The 17,872-nt window shown below is 41.8% G+C and overlaps 1 protein-coding gene across 3 annotated transcripts in view, besides 3 other annotated features; it reads left to right on the top strand.

Moving 5' to 3' along the window:
- Positions 1-17,872, top strand: part of PRKCB (protein kinase C beta) — a 384,629-nt gene that overhangs the window by 51,012 nt on the left and 315,745 nt on the right. The window lies entirely within an intron of this gene.
- Positions 14,397-14,541: an enhancer, noted in NCBI's record as "145 bp enhancer 73 fragment used in the MPRA reporter construct; PK_construct_4167". NCBI's record gives its function as "activates an SV40 promoter by MPRA in K562 cells {active_cell/tissue: K562}" and the evidence as "EXISTENCE:reporter gene assay evidence [ECO:0000049][PMID:23512712]".
- Positions 14,460-14,477: a transcriptional cis regulatory region, noted in NCBI's record as "GATA motif; enhancer activity is reduced when this motif is scrambled". NCBI's record gives its function as "necessary for full MPRA enhancer 73 activity {active_cell/tissue: K562}" and the evidence as "EXISTENCE:site-directed mutagenesis evidence [ECO:0005528][PMID:23512712]".
- Positions 17,111-17,296: a silencer, noted in NCBI's record as "fragment chr16:23915426-23915611 (GRCh37/hg19 assembly coordinates)". NCBI's record gives its function as "represses an EF-1alpha promoter that drives an FKBP-Casp9 reporter gene in an ReSE screen in HepG2 liver carcinoma cells {active_cell/tissue: HepG2}" and the evidence as "EXISTENCE:reporter gene assay evidence [ECO:0000049][PMID:32094911]".

Genomic DNA, 17,872 nt, shown 5'->3' on the forward strand with positions numbered 1-17,872 from the left:
TCCAAAGCTGCCTCTGGAACGAATCTGTAAATCCCAGGGCATTGCATGAGTTTTCTTTTCTTTCTTTCCTTCTTTCTTTCTCTCTCTTTCTTTCCTTCTTGCTTTCTTGCTTTCTTTCTTGCTTTCTTGCTTTCTGTCACTGAAAGCAAATATTGTAGACAGATATGCTTGTAGGATAGAAATAAAATGCCCCATTCTTTGAAACATATTTTGTTTTTTATTTTAGATTCATGGAGTATGTGTGCAAGTTTGTCACATGGGTATATTGCGTGATGCTGAGGTTTAGGCAATGAACTTGTTACCCAAATAGTGAGCATAGTACCCAGTAGGTAGTTTTTAAACCGTTACCCCCTTCTCTCCCTCCTTTCCGAGTTCCCAGTGTCTGTTGTTTCCATATTTGTGTCTGTGTATACCCCTTGTTTAGCTTCCACTATAGGTGAGAACATGTGGTATTTGGTTTTCTGTTTTTCTGTGATAATTCACTTAGGATAATGGCCTTCAGCTGCATCCATGTTGCTGCAAAGGACATGATTTCATTTTTTTTATGGCTGTGTAGTATTCCATAGTGTATATGCACCACATTTTCTTTATCCAATCCATTGTTGATGGGCACCTAGGTGGATTCCATGTTTTTGCTGTTATGGACAGTGATGCAATAAACATGAGAGTGAAGGTGTCTTTTTGGTGGAATGATGTGTTTTCCTTTGGGTATATACCCAGTAATGGGAATGCTGGATTGAATGGCAATTCTATTTTTAGTTCTTTGAGAAGTCTCTAAACTGCTTCCCAGAGGGGCTGAACTAATTTACAATTTCACCAACAGTGTAAGAGCGTCCTTTTTTCTCCGTAATCTCACCAAGGCACTGCATAAGCTATCTGAGTGGCCAGCAGGCAGAATGCTTGAAGGATTCTCCAGCTGGGGGTGCTGGGCCCAAAGGCTGGCAGCTGTATGGTCCTGGCCTTTTTCTCTCCAGCAGGGTCCCCATGATCTTCCCAGGTCTAGTTTTTTCTTGAGCACACCTGCATCTGACAGTTAATTGCAAGAATCTGACTTGCTGAACTCTCATTTCTCCCTCCTCCTTTAGCGCATCAAGTCCCCTTCTTTGTTTTCCCAGCTTGGTTCTTGCAAGGACTACCTAGAGGAGGACTTCAGGCAATCCCTTTCTCCCTGGTGGGCTGCTGTGTTCTCACCAATAAATCAATGCTCTCTCTAGTTTCAGGCTGCCTCTTAGGACAGATGCTGATACCAAGTGACTTTTGAGGTTGTTGAGTTGAGACACTTGGACCAAACAGCGGAAGGCACAGCTTGGCTCAGCTAAAGGAAGCTCCGTGAAAGCTCTCTGAGTGGGCCTATTGGCTCCATGAGTTGGCAGGCTGGCCCTCCTCTAGGAGATGGTGGGTCCTCATGGGCTGTAGCAGGGCCAGGCCACAGGAGCAGACTGCTGGAGGAGAACATTTAGGGCCATCTTCCTTGCTGCCTTTCTGTGATCTCTTCACCCAGGAAGCTGAATGCTGTTGGCAAGCAAAAGGGTGCTTGGTAACCATTTCTTTTTTAAGTGTGTGCTGGTGCCAGGGAGGGAGAAATCCTCAAAACCCATTGTGTCTGACTCAGGCACCACTGGTTTGGCCATAACCGCTAGTTTATCCTCCCTCCCTCTGCCACCCTCGTCATGTTTCTCGACCACAACCTGTCTGGACCTTCCCTGGGTTGGCCAGGGCTTGATAATCTTTTTCTGTAAGGAGTTATCCCTTCCTCATCTGCCAGGATGGGGCTACTGTGCAGGGACTGGGTAACAGGCTTGAAGTTGCAAGAGGGCTGGAAGGGTCTCACTAGCAAGCACACATTATGTCTTATATAGGTCCCTGGCCTTGTGCTTCAGACCCTATCACAGCTTTTCCACAGCTGGGGCTGTTGAGAATGTAAGTGGTGACATAGCTGGATGGCTAAGATGGGGGGAGTATGAGACCTGCAAGCGTGTGAGTCTCCTTTTGCTAGCAGAGTGTGAATGAAATGTATTTATTTTCCCAATAAATTCGACATGACTGATCATTCATCCACCCACTTACCCACCCATCTACTCACTAACCCACCCACTCAGTCATCTACACAGCTGTTCACTCGTCCATCCATCCATCCATCCATCCATCCATCCATCCATCCATCCATCCATCCATCCGTCCATCCACATTCAATGTAGTGTAATGATTAAGAGCATAGAGTTTGGAGTTATCCTGCTTAGGTTTGAATCCCAGCTCTGCCACTCACCAAGCATGTGATCTTGGTTCAGTTTTAAAACCTCTCCTTGTCTCAGTCTCCTCAGCTATAAAATGAGATTGATGTTGAAATTAATAACAGAGCCTACCTTACGGCATTATAAAGGTTATGTGAGTCAGTATGTGTAAGGTGCTTTCAGTAGTGCCTGGGTCATAGCAGTGCTATCTAAGTGTTAGCTATTAGCATTATGGCATCTACTCACCTGTTTATCATCTATAATAGTCATTAAAGGTCTTCAATAAATATTTCTGGTCTTTGGCCTTGCAGGCCAATGGTAGGATTGCACTGCTTGCCTCCCTTGTGGGTAGGTGGGGCCGTATGAGTAGCTCTGACCAGTGAGTTGTGATCCAAAGTGATGTATGTTCACTTTTATGCTGGGACATGTAATTGCTGGTTCTAGATTATCCAGAAAAAATCTTTGAGTTATGGCTGCTCTATCAACTTGCTCCTGGAGACATAGAACTTCTTCCTTAGCTGATCAGGCATGAGGCTGTAGTATGTGAGAAAAACAAACTTTTACCTATTTTGAGGGTTATTACTGCAGGATAACCCAGTTCTATCTCTGTCTCTCTCATCTATCATCTATCTATTTACAATAATTCCAGTCTCATTTTATTTCCCTTCCCTTTTCTTTTTGGCACCTATTACTAGCTGGCATTTTCTTATATTTTTTGGAGTTTCCTCCCAAAATTTATTTGTTATTAATTATAAGAATATGTTTTCCATGAGAAAAAGGACTTATTCACTTATCTAATTCCAATAGTTAGAATGGTACTTTACACATAGTAGACACTCAGCACATATTTTTAAAACAATAAATCAGTTAATGAATGGATCTACTTGACTTTTAGTAGGTCCTATTGAACACTGCATTCCACAGCTCCTTGAAAATCCTTACTGAGGCAGCTAATATTTAAGAAGGAACACCCTGACCTTTCACTGTCCAGTTTTATTGCCTGAATCAAGAAAAATATCCCTGAGATAGACCTCACTGCCTCTCTGCAAACCTCTTAATACCCTTAGTCAATTGTAAGAAGCTGCTTGGAACCCTGTAAGATGGTCTTTGGCCAGATCAAGTCTTGCTCCTCTTCCTCTGAATCTTGTAGGGGCCTTTAATCTTTCTGTAACTGTGATTCCCCAGAACAGGATGCCTTTGTTAGCCTAGCATCTTTTCTGTTACTTCTATGAAACAAGGAGAGACGCTCCCTGGGACCCTTAACTATTTCTGGAAGCAAAATGACCCTTGCCCCACTGAAGACTTAGGAGCCTGGTCACTTCCAACCGGGCTTTTCATCTTTGTGACTCCCAGTCATGGGCAAGAGGCTAGCTAGCTCCAATCCTAATGCCCGTGCCATCAACTGCTTCATTTCTGGTTTCTTCCTTGCTTTTGTGATACCCTCATTGACTCTTTCCACTGTACCCTGTGGACTTGCCTCTATGGGACACTTCCTCCCCATCCTGCCTGAAGAGGAAAGAGCCTGCCTTTCTTCTGGGAACATCATCCCATTCAGAAACAACAACCTTTCTGGAGTCAGGAGTTTGCTTTCCTCTTGTTCTTTATTGCTGCTTCCTGGAGATTGCATTCTTGTTTAAAAGCTCACCTGTAAGACTCTGATCAAATGTCCATTCTTCCCTCTCACTTCATCCCTGAAGATGAATGGGACATTTATCTTTATATATGTATGTATGCCTAGGGGAAAAAACTGAAGGAACATTATGTATATATATAATGCGTGTGTGTGTGTGTGTGTGTATATATATAATGTGTGTGTATATATATATATAATTTTTTTTGAGACAGGGTCTTGCTAGACTGGAGTGCAGTGGAGTGATCATGGCTCACTGCAGCCTCGACCTCCTGGGCTTAAGTGAGCCTCCCAACTCAGCCTCCCTAGTAGCTAGGACTACAGGCATGTGCCACCATACCCAGCTAATTTTAAAATTTGTATTTATTATTATTTTTGGTAGAGATGGGGTCTCACTATGCTGCCTGCGCTGTTCTTGAACTCCTGGGCTCAAGCAATCCTCCTGTCTCAGCCTCCCAAAGTGCTGGAAATACAGGCATGAGACACTGCATCCAGTCTATGATATTCTTATGTTTTTACAATGTGCTTATTATTGAGTAGGGAAATTATGAGTGATGTGTGTGTATGTATGTGTGTGTATACAGATGTATGCATCTGTGTTCAATTTTTCCTGTTGAGAGTGAGTAAACAAATATTTTTGAAAATAATAAAATACATAAATGAGGGGCAGGGGCTCTCTTGGACACTTCCAAAAGTACTTTGCTCAATTTTCTATGTTAGGCCTATCTGCAAGAAGCATAAGGGTTTGTCAGGAGCTATTATGATTATTTATTCTACAAATCCCAGTTCAACAAAGAAGGGTGAGGCTTGAGTGTTCAATTAGAGAAGCTGGCCAGTTGTGGTATCATATCAGCTCTACATCCAATGCTCAGTTTTCAAGGGGTCATGTTGCTCTGAAAGGCCTGGTGAGGTTGATGAGTGTCTTAATGAAGCCACTTGTGAAAGATAATGTGACATGTTTGTCCATCACATTGACGCAGGAAAGGAGCTTTCACAAAAGACAGCACAGAAATTTTGCAGGCTCGGACCAGAAGGGAATTTGTCAGTGTTTAGCTTGGCTGACATCCCACACCCTACCTTCTTGTGCAGTTAGAATCCCTTCTAGTGTAATGTGTGAAAAACCATAGGCCCCCTGCCCACACCCTCCTAGAGCTGTATCACCAACAGCTTTCAAGTGTGTGCAAATTGGGAGACGGCTGGATCCCACATCTCTGGGTGACATTTGCTGAAACAAATGCCTGTTAATAAGTGGCACGATTCCCTTGGTCTCAGTGATAAAGATGTACCTGTTACTGGGAGCCCTTGAGAGAAATCTTTGGTGAAGGCCTTCACACTCATTTTAATTGGTGATAGACAGATGTGTTGAGAAAACTTACATTTTTTTTCTCCATCCGTCTCAATTAGAATGTTATGAAATAGCACCCCCTTTGCTCTTCGTGCTTTATGCCCTAGACTTTAAAGACTGACAACGAGTGGTTAAAAAATCTCCATTGCTTCAGGATGCAGTATCAGCTGATTTGGTGGATTAAATCGTTTTAAGGTCCTGAGCTTTAATTCTTACTTCAGTGATTCTCAAACCTTGTTTTGCAAAACCCCAGAGCTTTAATCTTAAGGGATGAGCCTGCTATTTCCAAGACAACAAAATTATTTCTACTTCATATTAATACAAAACATTAAAATATACATTGTCTTTGTAATATAGTTTATTAATTCAAAGCACTTGCATTCCCATTTATCTGGTCTTCATACAAAACCATGTATGAGTGAGTAGGCAGATGGTCTTATTTATTACTTCGTTCAATATATAGATTTTTGAGTGCCTACCGGTATACAGCACTGAACGAAAGAGAAAAATACTAGTTTGGATGGGAGCTCAACACAATCTGAGGGGATATATTGGACCCATTTTGCAGAGGAAGAAACTTTGGTTCAGGAAGGGAAAGTGAACTCTGAAGTTTGACATAAAGTTAGCTTCAGAACTAGAATATCTGCCTTCTGATCTCAGCCTATCACCTATCTCAGGTTCTGTCTCCACGATACCATGTGATTGGAACTGGCTCATTAACCTGGGGATGGATCAATCAGCATCTTTTTTTTTTTTTTAACAGGATTGGATGGAAATCTGCATTCCTTGATCACTCAGTCTATAGGGTGAACTTACAATGGCCCTCATGCTTAATCTTGAAATACAGGGATGGTCTGATGGAGTGTGCTGGAGACCCTGCTGAGATCTTTGGACAACTCCTCTCCAGTCCACTACCTGAATCCTTTCTCTTCTCCTCAAAAAAATCTGAGACTATCCAAATGAAGAGTAAATAAAGGGAGAAGTAAGAAGGAAACATGAGACAGAGAGGCAGCAGGAGCAGAATGAAACTTGGGGAGCAGAGGGAGAAGCCAAGAAAACTTACTGGACTTGGAGCCAATAAATTGGCCATGGCATGAAGGTTTCTGCCAGCAATATGGCAGCCCATTCCAGCTCTTTCCATTTTCTTTTCCCAGCTGTGCTGCCAAGCACCATGCTTAGGCTGGTTTAACAGAGATTATGCTAGGAGGATTTTCTAACATTCATGTCCTGATTACCCCTTATCTGATTCCTTAGCAGTAGCCTTCAGTGGCCTCAGAGAATTCCAGGTTCAGCTGTCTGAACAGTTCAATGACTGTTTGTAAGTTCTGACTTACGATCAAGGCAGGAAATGTGAAAAGCATTTTTAAAAAGGAAAAAAACCATCCGGCGTTGTTAACATTTTTGTTATTCCAGTATTTTCCCATGCATATAAATATGTGTACTTCTTTTATTTTTCACAAGAGTACTCTCACACCATAATATTGTTTTATAACCCTCTTTTCCACTGTGCTCTAGTGTAAACATTTTACTGTACCAAATCTTTTTCCACAAAAGGATTTTTAATTACTGCATAGATTTCTATTGAACGGATGTACTAAAATTTACCTAAACAGCTCTTATTATTCAACATGATTCAACCATTGTTACAAATAATATAGTTGTATATTTATCTTTATGGAAAGCTATTTCTGAATACTCCTAAGGATAAGTTCATGTATTAGTTAGGTTTTGCTGTGTAACAAATCATCGCACAACTTAGTGGTGTCAAACAATGACTATTTACTTACCTCTGCAGGTCTGCATTTTGGGCCAGGTAGTTCTGCTGGACTAGGCTGGAATCAGTGGACATAGGCTCTGGTTACTTATGCATTTGCAATCAGCTGGGGGACTGCATGGGATGATGGTGGTATGTCATCTTCCAGCAGGCCAGGTTGTTTCCATAGCAGTTAGAGTTGCAAGAGCAGCAAGGAGGCAAACCCTGATGCACAAACTTTTTTTCAAGTTTTGGTTGCATCACATTTGCTTCTGTCCCATAGGCCAAAGCATGTGACATGGCCAAGCCCGGAGACAGTTTGAGAAGACATTACCAAAGGCATGGCTACAAAAGGCATGAAAGTCTCAGGACCATTGTTGTAATCAACTCATCACAGTCCCCAAAATGGGAGTTTCTGGGTCAAAAAGTGTGGCCATTTAAAGGTTTTCATTGTCACATTGCTCTCCAGAGAAATTGTAACTAATTTACACACCACCTAGAGTACATGCATTTCCAAATTCACTTGATCACTGGATATAATCATTGGTTTAATTTCCCCCCAGAAAATAATATTATTGCTTTTGAAGAGTACATGCTTTGTGAGGGAAGCTGTCTTGAATGTCCAGCTTCCAGGTGCAAGCGCCTGCATGTGTGCACAGGTGACACCATGTAGAACCGAAGAACCACCTGGCTGAGTCTAGCCAACCCAGAGAATTGTGAGGGAAAAGAATATTTTTTTAAGGCAGAAGAAAAATGTATGTTCATTGTAAAAACCTGAAGCAATGTGGTACCTTTATCATCAATATCTTCCCCAGTATTTGATTCATTCTGACATTATGTTGTTGGGTTACATTTATTTCTATTACATTTAGGACCTTTGAGTCTATATTCATTAGTGAAATTTGTCTGCCATTTACTCTTTTTTTTTGGTTTGCTGTCTTTGACAAGTTTTTGCTATTTTCATCAAAACATCTGGGAAGTCTTCCATCTTTTCTTGTTTTTTAATGCTTAGGAAGAGCATAAATGGCAAAGGATTTAGAATATTTTTTAGAAGTTTGAGTGGATTTACCATACCCCCAAAGCAAAACAATTTCTGGGCCTGGTGCCTTTTCCAAGATTAGTTATTTGATAATTTTTTCTGGTGTATTTCATGATCATTTTTGGTATACTTTCAAATGTGTTATGTTTTTTTAAGAATAAGCATTTAATTGAGTCTCTAATTTATTAGCATAAAACTATATATATTGTCCTGTAATGATGTGAAAAATTGCCTTGCCATCTGCAATTCTCTTTTCTCATTCTTACTGAGTTCCTATTTTTAGTTTTTGAAAATTTTCTTATGAGCTTTGCCAGAGTGTCACTGTTTTATTTTTCCCCTCAAACAACCACCTCTTAAATTTATTCTTCAGTTCAACTTTTTTCTGTTTCCAGATGCATTAATTTCTGCTTTTTAATTATTTCCTCAGTTTTATCACTCTTCCTAGTTTCTTGAGCTAAATGTCCCTATGTACTTTCAATTATATCTACTGATTTGTCAAAAATTGGATAGTATGCTCGTCTCCTACTATGATAGTGATTTTTCAACACCTTTGTATTTTTTTAAACAAATTTTGTTTTGTACATTTCTAATGTACTTTTATGTTATAGGAGTTAGAGTTTCATGATTCTCCAGTCTTATTGTGAAGTTACTCAGATCTGAGTTCAAATTCTCCTGTGCTGCCTACCAAATGATGAACCAGTTTTAGATTCTCCTAAAAGCTTGGTGATAATAATGCCAGTGTTGCTTATTTTTAATACTTAAATTAAATGATATAATTGATGTTAAGTGCTCATCATAGTGCCAGGCACATGGAACACACACTGCTATTGGTTATATTGTTATTATTGATGTACTCTTTATGAATACAAAATATCCATCTTTGTCCTATGTAATATTTTTATGCTTTACATTTTATTTGTCTGATAATTAATATTTCTGCTCATGGCAGCTTTTCCCACCTTTTCATTTTCATTTTGGATCATTTTATTTTCAGCAAGTCTCATGGGAACCATGTATATTTGAATTCTATTTTTTCTTTAAATTATGAATCTTTGTCCTTTAATGGGATAATTCAATCCATTCACATTTTTTTTTTTTGCAAGACACAGCATTTGGCAAGTGTTTACTTCTTTCTTCTCCCAATCCACTTTCCTGCCTTTGAAGATTTTAGAACCAGAATTTATGAAAAAAAATAAATATATTTGATTTCCCATGAATTGCTATTGACACATGCATTATTTCATGCAATTCAAGACTTTTTTAAAGATGTGACTCTCAAACTTACTTCATTACTCACTTTTTATGTTTTTTGGACCCATTTCCCTCTTATTGAATTAATTGATTGATTCATTAATTCAATCAACAAATATTTATTGAAAACATACTGTATGCAGACACTGTGCTAGGGTCTGAGAGAAACGTATTTGATGTAAACCTGGTCTGTGTCTTCACTGAATCTACATTTAGATTCACAAAATTAGAGACACAAAAATAGATGACAAATTAAAGCAGATATAAAGGAAACCAATAAGGGTCTCAAGGAGAGATTAGTGAACGTGCATGTGAGTATCTATTTAGCAAGTTTAATGAGGGGATGCTTTTTGTGAAGGTGACATTTATGCTGGCAGCTTAAGAAGTGGCATTAGCTGTGTGAAGAGAGGAAGGAAGAAAGGCATTCCAGGCAGAAGGACTAGCATATGCAAAGGGCTTGAAAGGGGAAAGAGCCTTATCCTAATGTTTTCATAGAAATTATTTTTAAATACTCAACAATTAGCTTTTGAATTAAAGGAATGCACACAAGTGAAGTTAATCTCTTATAGGCAAAACCAAATGAAGGATTGGAAAATGCCTCTGAAGAGTCAGCTGGAAGGCTCTTCATCCATCCATCCAACCATCCATCCATCCATCCATCCATCCATCCATCCATCCATCCACTCATCCATCCATTCATCCATCCATCCACCCACCCATCTACCCACCCATCCATCCATCCATTCACCCACCCACTCATCCATCTATCCATTCATCCATCCATCCAATAAGCAGTCATTGAGTGCCTACTGTGTGCCAGACCCTGTGCCAGGTGTTGATCACAAATAATACAAGCACCTCCTGGAGAGTAGAGCCTAGTTGTGTACATGGGATGGAGGGCCCATGATAATAAAGCTGGTACTTCTCATGGAGTGGGATGGGCCAGGGGCATGGGGAAGGCACACGTGCTGTGCTCTGTAGAGCTCTGAGCAGGGAGGGACGCAGTGGGAAAGAGCTGAGAACAATTCCTGCCAGATGGCTTTATTCTTTCCCCTGAAGGAAGTGGGGACTTCGTGCTGTGACATGATACACAAGAACAGTGTTTCCTGTGGGTTTGCAAGGGCATTTTGAATATAAACACTACAGCTCGCTGATGTGTGAAAAAATTATTTTTTTTGCTTTTTCAGACTTTGTGAAGGGATAATCAGATCAATTTTATAAGTCTGGAAAACAGGTATTTGGGGTGAATTTTAATGCACACATTATAGTGGCTGGAACCCTAACCAAAGGCAGCTGTCACCTGTTGGTGGGTTCTCTTAGGCACGTTGTTTGTTCATCTAGCTGTCACCTGGCAGCTTATGCCCTCCAGTTCCTGGAACTGACCAGTTATCTGCAACTGACTAAGTTCTGGTACTGGATCCTGTGTGATTTGACTCTAACCTCCAAGAACCTTACTGTCTTTAGCTGTGAAATGCGGAGAAGACTGGACTACTTGATCTCTCAACACTCTATATATCTTTAAAGTTAAATCATTTGTTCAGTCATTTGCCCTTTCTTCTGCCATTTCTCTTTCCCTCTCTCCCATCCATCCATCCATCCACCCATCCACCCACCCATCCATATATCTATTTAATATTTATATTATTTATGTTATTTATTTATTTATTTATTTTGCAATGGAGTCTTGCTCTGTTGTCCAGGCTGGAGTGCAATGGCGTGATCTCGGCTCACTGCAACCTCCGCCTCCCAGGCTCAAGCGATTCTTCTGCCTCAGCTTCCTGAGTAGCTGGGATTACAGGCACATGCACCACCATGCCCGGCTAATTTTTTTTTTTTTTTTGAGACAGAGTCTTGCTCTGTCGCCCAGGCCAGAGTGCAGTGGTGCGATCTCGGTTCACTGCAAGCTCCGCCTCCCAGGTTCACGCCATTCTCCTGCCTCAGCCTCCCGAGTAGCTGGAACTACAGGCGCCCACCACCACACCTCGCTAATTTTTTGTATTTTTAGTAGAGACAGGGTTTCACCTTGTTAGCCAGGATGGTCTTGATCTCCTGACCTCCAGTGATCCGCCCATCTCGGCCTCCCAAAGTGCTGGGATTATAGGCGTGAGCCACCGCACTGGACCCTGTCTAATATTTAATTGAGTGCCTGTTGTGTGCTAAGTACTGTGCTGGGTTCTCATCCAGTGGCCAGTAAATTAGACAATCCTCCCATCATAGAGCTTGCCATCTAGTAGGGAGACAGACAAGCAAATAATTACACAGGTAATAATACAATTACAGTTATGATAAGTATTACAAATGAGAAGAATGGGGTAGGTGAGCATGTGTATTAAGGCTATCGGTCTCATTTTGAGGGCCAGAGAACTCTTTCTTGACAAAATGAAGTTTAAACAAAAACTAGGTGAAGATTGGCAGAAAAGCATCCCAGGCAGAGGGCACAGCCAGTGTGAAGGCCTTGGGATAGGAAGGGGCATGGCCACATCAAGGGAGGTAAAAATACATAACAAAATAATAATATGAGTAACAATGGCAACTACTACTGAAGGAGGACCGCCTATTTGCCAGGGACCATGCGATCCTTAACTGTGTGGTTTTGATCAAATCATCTAAACTCCTTGCACCTTGGTCTATGCATCTATAAAATGGGGTGATAGTGATCGTGTATACTTCATCAGGTTCTTCTGAGGCGCCAATGAAGTAACGTCTGGGAAATCCTTAGGTCTATGCCTGGACCATAGGAAGTGTTTAAGAGACAGCCGTTGTGACTGTTATTTTTATGAATGGTATTGGGTGAGAAAAAGTTCGTGTTGCATCTCAGGGCTTGCCTTGGACCCTGTTGATGATTTCTATGTTGAGGTCACTCTTGGAGTTTCTGCAGAAGTAGAACTCTTGGAAGTCTGCTATTCAGCAGATGAGTGAAACAAGTGCTTCTCCCTCCGCTCCCACAGAAAGAGGGGCAGAGATGCCAGCCACAGCTTGGCTTTCAGGCAGCAGGCACATTGGGATCAGTGATTGGCATTTGCAACATTGGTTGGCATCACAGAGAGCATGGAAGGTCAAGGTAATAATTATCAAGGACAGTTTAAGGGAAACAGTACATTCCATTCCTTATCCATTGTAAGACCAGTACATTCCCTGTTCTTTAACTCTTGGGAAGACATCTCCCCCAGATCTCTCTGCTGAGGATCAGGGCCATTTCTCTGTTAAAAATGTCAAACAGCAACTTACCAGAGGAAACAGAATGGTGGAAATGCCATCTCAGCATTCAAGAAGCCCCAGTACCAAACTTTGCATGTATATACGTTTGAAACAAGCTTTGTAAATTACTTTTGTTCATTTGTAATTACTTATCCATAAGAACTCTCTCTCTCTCTCTCTCTCTCTCTCTCTCTCTCTCTCTCTGTGTGTGTGTGTGTGTGTGTGTGGTTTGTTGTCACCTGGGCTGGAGTGCAGTGATGCGACCATGGCTCACTATATTCAAAATCCTGGGCTCATGCGATCCTCCCACCTCAGCCTTCTGAGGAGCTGGGACCGTAGGCACGTGCCACCAGGCCCAGCAAATAAAATTTATTTATTTATTTATTTATTTATTTATTTATTTATTTATTTATTTATTTATTTATTGTAGAGATAGGGCCTTGCTATGTTGCTCAGGCTGGTCTCGAACTCCTGGCCTCAAGTGATCCTCCTGTCTCAGCCTCCCAAAGTGCAGGGATTACAGTTAGGTATGGAGAGAGAAGGAAATAAGGAAGACACAGTTATTACTCTTTAGGACCCATAATTTAACTCAAGTGATTTTGCCCCCAGGTGGTATTTGGCAATGTCTGGAGACATTTTGTTTGTCACAACTTGGGGTGGTGGGGGTTGCTACTGGAATCTAGTGGGTAGAGGCCAGGGATGCTACTGAACAAAATATACAAGACAGCCTCACAACAAAGAATTGACCAGTCCACAGTGTCCACAGTGCCATGGTTGAGAAACCTTGATCTAACTGCTTATGACATACCACTTCCATAAAGCCGAGAGATATCAATTCTTATGCAGTTATCACTGTGTACAGGAAATTGTGTGTTTGTACATGTGTGTGCATGAATGTGTAGATATAAAGGGATAAAACCTTTATCTTCCTTTCCTAGGTATTTTTACCTCTGTATTATCAATTGAAATAATTTGTTTTTGAATATACAATGCAAAGTTTGAAATCCTACAGGTACAACAAGGTATACAGTGAATAAAGAATCTCCCCATTCCACTTCTGTCCTCAAGTCTTCAGTTCTCTGGAGGAGTACTACTGTCATTAGTCTCCTATATATTAGTAGAGAGACATTCCGCATATGAACCTTATACCCTTAGTAGCACCTCACACATATTTTTTTCCTTGTTGCCTTTTTTTTTCCTATGTGATGACGTATCTTAGAGATATTTTCATATCAGCGCATATAGAGCAGCCTCATTCATTTTAACAGCTGCACAGGTTTTTTTTTTTTTTTTTTTTTTTTTTTTTTTTGTGGCTGTCCCATACGGTCTTCTGTTGATGGGCATAGGTTATTTCTAGTCTTTTGCATAACAAACAGTGCTGGAGTGGATCTCCTTGTACCTAACTGTGGACACACATGTGCAAGTACGTCTGTAATCCAAAATCCTGCAAGAGGAATTTCTAGGTTAAGATGGCATGTGCATTTTAAATTTGGCTAGAGATTTCTGCAGTGATGTCTGATCCTGTGCACCGTGCATTCATCATGTGACCCATTTCTAGTCCTTCTTGACCGCCCCCTCTCCTATGGGGATCCTGAGCTGATAGGGTCACTTCTGTCTCTCCCCCACACTGGAACAGCTCTCTCTAATCTACAAGATTAATTTTTTTTCCTAATCAAAACACAATTGCCAAGGATAGTTTGAAAAATATTAATTGTGTCTGTCATCCTGGGGCTCTGAGCACGTGAGCGTTTGGGATATAATCTTTGCAAATTGCCTATAGTTCATACAGCACAGCAAGAGCCTCTCTCTCTGCAGCCAGTCCTTTATGATCGATCATACCCACCCCCTCTCCCAATGGGCTGTATCCTAAGGGTAAGTAGACAGCATGGGTTCTCTTGCTTAAAAAAAATCGTTAACTCAACGGGGGCGCCTGCTGCTTGATTGGGAGTATGTCGGCATTTAGAGCCTGCTGGCTGCAATCTCACTACGCAGACTGGAAGTTGTGGGGTGTTTTTATCAGCAGGAAACAGCTTTGAGAGCGGAAGGGGAGTGAGAGTAGATGGATAGATGAGGGAATTCGAAGAGGAGGAAGCCGTGGGAGAAATGTCTTCTTTTAAAGACAGACAAGGCAGATTTCTCCAGCCCATCTCTCTGGAATGTCAAGTAGGAATGAAATGGGAAGTTGGGTTAATTCTACCAGGCCTGCCCAGCAACCAGCCTGTTCAGGTTCCCCAGGAGTTGCAGCCTGTTGTCTGAGACTGTGAGGTTCTCTTCCCTGAAGTGTCTTGTGGGAATTGGCTGGTGGCAGCATTTTCTCTGAGGTCCCAAAAATTCGAGTGGTCAAGAAGACACCCTGCAATGATCATTCCCCAACATTGGAGGCCATAAAAGTCAGTCTGGGTTTGCAAATACACACTGGAAGTCTCAGAGCTGGTGCAGACATCTCAGAGCTGGTGCAGACAGACACTGTGGCTGAGTGTGTGTGCCTTGTTCGTTATGGTTTCACTGCTACTGGATTGGTACCTGGTACACAGTAGGCACTGAAAAAATATTCACTGAAAGAAAGAGAAAACTTGATGGCAGTTGTAGGTCTGGGTCTGTTGGAATTTTTACCCCCAGGAAGAGATTTGATTTTAACTCAAAGCCAGTTGATAAACAGCCTCACCCAGCAGACAGAGGGCAGCTTGGGGGAAACTGGAGGGTATGTAGGGTGGGGTGGGGCTCTTATCTGTATGGACAATGCCATATATTTTCTGAAACTTGGATTTTTCTCCTTATAAGGGAGAAGATCCAAGAAGACAATGAAAAAACATTTGCCCCTGCCTTTAGAAAAAATAACCTTTTAATTTTTGGAATAATTTCAGATTTTTAGAAAAGTTGCAAAACATTTACAGAGAGTTCCACTGCATACCCCTCACCCAAAGTTTCCCCCTAATGCTAACATCTTATGCAACTGTGATGCCTTTGCCCCTACCATTTTGAGGTTAACAATTAAGTTAGTATAATACTTATTCTGTACCGAGCTCTATTCTATATCATTTTCCTGCAGTTGTTTATTTGACCCTTTCAGCATCCTTTGAGGAATAAGCACTGTTATAGCAGTCCCCATTTTACAGACGGGGAAGCTGAGGCTCAGCTAGACTCTAGCTAGTGTTCGAAACCTAAGTTGTCTGGCTCCAGTCTCTCACCCCTCACCATTATTATCTGCACAGTAATGATGGTAACTGTCATCTCTTGATGATAATGCGTTCAGGAACTGAGCTCAAAAGTTTTTCCCTCCCTCCCTTCCTCCCTTCCTTCCTTCCTTCCTTCCTTCCTTCCTTCCTTCCTTCCTTCCTTCCTCCCTCCCTCCCTCCCTTCCTTCCTTCCTTCCTTTTTTTGAGATAGGGTCTCACTCTGTCACCCAGTCTGGAGTGCAGTGTCACGATCGTAGTTCACTGTAACCTTGAACTACTGGGCTCAAGCCATCCTCCCACCTCAACTTCTTGAGTAGCTTTGACTACAGGCATAAGCCATCATGTCTACCTAATTTTTAGTTTTTTCTTTTCTTTTTTTTTTTTTTTCCTTTTTCTGTAGAGACAAAGTCTTGCTATGTTGCATGGCTGGTCTCAAACTCCTGGCCTCAGGAGCCCTCCTGCTTCAGCCTCCCCAAGTTCTGGGATTACAGGTGTGAGCTGCCACGCCCAGCCTACTTATGTTATTTCTAAACCCTCCCCTGACTCAGAGCTGTGGTAAAGAGCCCCGCTTTTGTTGTCCTGCTCAGGACAAAAATACATGGCCCCAGGCTTTTGTGAGTAGGATCCGGAAGGGAACTTAAGTGTGTGTGTGTGTGTGTGTGTGTGTGCACCCACGTGTGTGTGGGGGAGTGATAGAGATTCTCCTGGTTTCTGTCCTAGTTTTTTCTAAGCGTATGGAGACAGGTCTGCTCCGTACATCTGGGGATTGGTATTACCACATCATTTCCCCCCTAACAGCAGCAAAGATTCTCAAAGCTTCATCAGAGCATGAACAATCAGAAATGCCTTAATTTTGTTAGTCACAATAAATAATACTTTGATTAATTAGCAAGCACATGCCTTGGGAATATGAGAAAGTAAATGATTTCTACCCTAGATCTTTCAGATAGCTGGGAGGGAAGAGAGTATTAAAATACGCTTTTAACTATGGGTTTTGGATGGAGAAGAGGAGAATGCCGGAGAGGGGAAAGCAGCAGTGGAATTGTTCTTGGAGATAGGAGAAACTGAAACTCTTTCCACCCAGGGTCTTTGCAGAAAGTGGTTCCCACTGCCTGGAATACTTTTTCTTCTCTTTACATGGTGAGCTCTCACTCTAGTCTCAACTTAAATGTCTCCCCCTTTGACAGGCCCTTGCTAACATCCTGTTTCAAGTTCCTTCTGGATATTGATTAGGATGGTAAGCTTCATGAGGTTAAGGATCTCTGTTTCATCCACTGCTCCATCCTCTGGTGTCTGCAACGACGCTGGCACACCATAGGCCCTTATTAAATATGTGTCGACTAAATGAATATGTGGTCTTATTAAATATGTGTCGACTAAATGAATATGTGGTCTATTTCAAGTCCTCGTTTGTGTCTGCCCTAGAACTTAGCACTGTTTGCCATTAGCTTGTCTATTTCCTTGTGAATAGCTAGATTCCCTCATGAGCTATAAGGGCCACGATGGCAGGGGGTGTGTCTACCTTGTTCACCAAGGGTACCCAGGATGAACCTGGCCTGCAGCTAAGGGGGTGGGCTCTAGGGTCAGATTACTTGGGCTCAAATCCCAGATTTCCTATGTTCCAGCTGTGTGATTTCTGCTAATTGTCAAGCCACTCTGTGCCTCATTTTCCACATAGGTGCAAGAGGGGTGATAATAGCATCTATCTCTTGGGGTTGTTGAAAGAATTAAATATGTCAGTATTGGCTAAAACACTTAGAGGAAGCTGGGCGTGGTGGCTCATGTCTGTAATCCCAGCACTTTGGGAGGCTGAGGCAGGTGGATTGCTTGAGGCCAGGAGTTCAAGACCAGCCTGGCCAACATGGCGAAACCCCATCTCTACTAAAAATACAAAAATTAGCCAGACATGGTTGTGGGTGCCTGTGATTTCAGCTACTTGGGAGGCTGAGGCAGAAGAATCGCTTGAACCCGGGAAGTGAAGGTTGCAGTGAGCTGAGATCGCACTACTGCACTCCAGCCTGGGTGACAGAGCGAGTCTTCATCTCAAAAGAACAACAACAACAACAACAAAAAACCACAACACTTAGAAGAGTATCTAGCATATAGTAAGTGCTTCAGTGCTTTATACATGTCAGTTATTGGTAGTACTCAAAATATTTGGGATTTAAAAGTTGGGGGATTTTTACATAAAAGGCACTTTTCCTCTTTGAGTGGTAAAATCTCCCCTAAGAAAGAGGCAAGGACAGATG

This window comes from Homo sapiens, chromosome 16, assembly GCF_000001405.40.
Source record: "Homo sapiens chromosome 16, GRCh38.p14 Primary Assembly".
Lineage (NCBI taxonomy): Eukaryota > Metazoa > Chordata > Mammalia > Primates > Hominidae > Homo > Homo sapiens.